Genomic DNA, 4,191 nt, shown 5'->3' on the forward strand with positions numbered 1-4,191 from the left:
ACCATCAATTCAATGGACTTTGCCCCTGGCCCCTTTCCATTCATCTCAACTATAAAAATTTTCTGCTTCCCATAGAATTAAAATAAACTTACCAAGAAGATATCCTAATACCTAGTGATAAAGCCTTTTGGGTATAGTGTTCCCAGCTATGAGGTTTATGCAGATAAACATATACATTTTCTTAAATTAGCCACCTTAGGACAGCACAACAAAGTCTATAAATTCCTTAGTTTAAATGGTTTTAACAACCTGCTTATGTTTATGTAGCTCAAGATTATAGTAGCTCAACACATAGAAGGAAATCTACAGAATGGGAGAAAAAAACATATCTTGTTTTATTTTACTTTGCTTTATTGAGCTCTGCAGATATTGAGATTTTTACAGATTAAAAGTTTGTAGCAACCCTGCAGCAAGAAATTCAATTGGTTCTATATTTCCAGTAGAATGTGCTCATTTTGTGTCTTTGTGGCACATTTCAGTAATTCTGATAACATTTCAAACATTTTCAGTAATACGATTAATATAATAGTAATATAATTACCATTATATCTGTTATTATAAGCTGTAATCAGTGCTCTTTGATGTTACTGTTGTAATTGTTTTGAGCACCACAAACTTAATCAATAAATATTGTGGGTGCTCTGATTGCTCCACCAACTGGCTATTCCTTCATTTTTCTCCCTTTCCTAAGGCCTGCCTATTTCAGGTGACATGATAATATTGAAATTAGGTCAGTTAATAACCCTACAATGGCCTCTAGCGGTACAGGTGAAAGAAAGTGGTACATCTTTCACTTAAATCAATAGCTAGAAATGATTAAGCTTGGTGAGAAGGGCATCTCTAAAGCTGAGAGAGGACAAAACTCAGCATCTTGTGCCAAACAGTCAAGTTGTGAACGCAAAGACAAAGTTCTTGAAGAAAATTAAAAGTGCTACTTCAGTGAACTTCACACAAGCTAACATGAATAATAATAATAATAAACATTATTATTATTAATATGGAGAAAGCTTAGTAATCTGGATGGAAGATAAAATGAGTCATAATATTCCCTTAACCCAAAGGCTCATCCAGAGCAAGGCCCTAACTCTCTTCAATTCTATGAAGCTGACAGAGGTAAGGAAGCCACAGAAGAAAAGTTGGAAACTAGTAGAGCTTAGTTCATGAGTTTTAAGGAAAGAAACAACATGAAGTGCAAAGTGAAGCAGCAAGTGCTGATGTAGAAGCTGCAGCATGTTACCCGGAATATCTAGCTAAGATACTGATGAAGGTGGCTAACTAAGCTACAGATTTTCTATGTAGATAAAACAGCCTTATATTGGAAGAAGATGCCATCTAGAACTTCCATAGATAGGAAGAAGTCAATGCCTGGCTTCAAAGCTTCAAAAAAACAGGTTCACCCTCTTGTTAAGAGCTAATGCAGCTGGTGGCTTTAGGTTGAAACCAATGCTCATTTACCATCCTGAAAATCCTAGGGCCTTTAAGAATTATAGTAAATCTAGTCCACCTGTGCGGACTAAATGCAAAAACAAAGCCTGGATGACAGCACATTTGTTTACAGCATGATATACTGAATATTTTAAGCCCATCGCAGAACGCTACTTCTTAGGGAAAAATATTTCTTCGAAAATATTATTACTCATTGACAATGTACCTGGTGACTCAAGAACTCTGATTGACATATGCCAGGAGAGTAATGTTTTCAAGCCTGCTAACACAACACCATTCTACAGCCCATGGATCAAGAAGTAATTTTGACTTTCAAGTCTTATTATTTAAGAAATACATTATATAAAACAAAACTACCATAGTGTATTAGTCCATTTTCACACTGTTGATAAGGACATACCCAAGAATGGGTAATTTATAAAGTAAAAGAGGTTTAATGGACTCACAGTTCCATGTGTTCTCACAATCATGGTTGAAGGTGAAAGGCATGCTTTACATGGTGGCAGTCAAAAGACAGAATGTGAACCAAGTGAAAAAGAAAACCCCTTGTGAAACCATCAGATCTCATGAGACTTATTCTTTACCTTGAGAACAGTATGGGGGAAAACGTCGCCATAATTCAATTATCTCCCACAGTGTCTCTCCCACAACATGGGGGAATTATGGGAGCTACAATTCAAGATGGGATTTGGATGGGGACAGAGCCAAACCATATCATTCCACCCCTGGCCCTGTCCAAATCTCATGTCCTCACATTTTAAAACCAATTACACCTTCCCAACAGTCTCCTAAAGTCTTAACTCATTTCAAGATTGACTCAAAAGTCCACAGTCCAAAGTCTCATCTGAGACAAGAGATGTCCCTTCCACCTATTAGCCTGTAAAACCAAAGCAAGTTAGTTACTTCCTAGATACAATGGGGATACAAGCATTGTATAGCTACACCTGTTCCAAATGGGAGAAATTGTCCAAAACAAAAGGGCTACAGGCACCATGCAAGTCCGATATCCAATAGGTCAGTCATTCAACATTAAAGTTCCAAAATGGTCTCCTTTGACTCCATGTTTCACATCCAGGTCATGCTGATGCAAGAGTTGGGTTCCCATGGTCTTGAGCAGCTCCACCCCTGTGGCTTTGCAGGGTACAGCCCCCCTCCAAGCTGCTTTCATGGGCTGGAATTAAGTGTCTGTGGCTTTTCCAAGCGCACAGTGAAAACCATTGGTAGATCTACTATTCTGGGGTCTTGAGGATCGGGGCTTTCTTCTCACAGCTCCACTAGGCAGTGCCCCAGTGGGGACTCTGTGTGGGGGCTTGCACCCATTTCCCTTCTGCATTGCCCTAGCAGAGGTTCTCTATGAGGGCTCTACCCCTAAAGCACCTCTGCTGGGACATCCAGGCATTTCCATACATCCTGTGAAATCAAGGGAGAGGTTCCCAGACCTCAATTCTTGACTTGTATGCACCCGCAGGCTCAACACCACATGGAAGTTGCTAAGACTTGGGGCTTGCACCCTATGAAGCCATGGCCTGAGCTGTACCTTGGCCCCTTTTAGCCATGGCTAGAACAGCTGGGACACAGGGCACCAAGTCCCTAGGCTGTACAGAACAGGGGTCCTTGGGCCCATCCTGAGAAACCATTTTATCCTCCTAGACGTCCAGGCCTGTGATGGAAGGGGCTGCCACAAAGGTCTCTGACATGCTCTGGAGACATTTCCCCTATTGTTTAGGTGATTAGCATTTGGCTCCTTGTTATTTATGCAAATTTTTGCAGCCAGCATGAATTTCTCCTCAGAAAATGGGATTTTCTTTTCTAACACATTGTCAGGCTGCAAATTTTCTGAACTTTTATGTTCCGTTTCCCTTTTAAAACTGAATGCTTTTAACAGCACCCAAGTCACATCTTGAATGCTTTGCTGCTGAGAAATTTTTTTCTGCCAGATACCCTAAATCATCTCCCTCAAGTTCAAAGTTCCACAAATCTCTAGAGCAGGGCAAAATGCTGGCAGTCTCTTTGCTAAAACAGAGCAAGAGTCACCTTTATTCCAGTTCCCAACAAGTTCCTCATCTCCATCTGAGACCACCTCAGCCTGGATTTCACTGTTCATATCATTATCAGCATTTTTGTTAAAGCCATTCAACAAGTGTCTAGGAAGTTCTAGACTTTCCCACATCTTTCTGTCTTCTTCTGAGCTCTCCAAACTGTTCCACCTCTGCCTATTACCCAGTTCCAAAGTCACTTCCACATTTTAGGGTATCTTTCCAGCAGCATCCCACTCTACCAGTACTAATTTACTGTATTAGTCCATTTTCACACTGCTGATAAAGACATACCTGATACTGGTATAAAGAAAAAGAGGTTTAATGGAATTGCAGTTCCATGTGGCTGGGGAGGCTGCACAACCATGGCAGAAAGTGAAAGGCCCTTCTTACATGGTGGCAGACAAGAGAGAGAATGAGAACCAAGTGAAAAGGGAAATCCCTTATAAAACCATCAGATCTTGTGAGATTTATTACCATGAGAACAGCATGTGGGAAACTGCCCCCATGATTCAATTAGATCCCACTGGGCCCCTCCCACAACACATGGGAATTATGGGAGCTATAATTCAAAATGAGATTTGGGTGGGGACACAGCCAAACCATAACAGATAGTGATTCTGCTAATGTATCTGGGAGAAGTACACTGAAAGCCTTCTGGAAAGGATTCATCACTCTAGATGCCATTTGGAAAGGATTTACCATTAAG

The sequence above is a fragment of the Homo sapiens genome, chromosome X (assembly GCF_000001405.40).
Source record: "Homo sapiens chromosome X, GRCh38.p14 Primary Assembly".
NCBI lineage: Eukaryota > Metazoa > Chordata > Mammalia > Primates > Hominidae > Homo > Homo sapiens.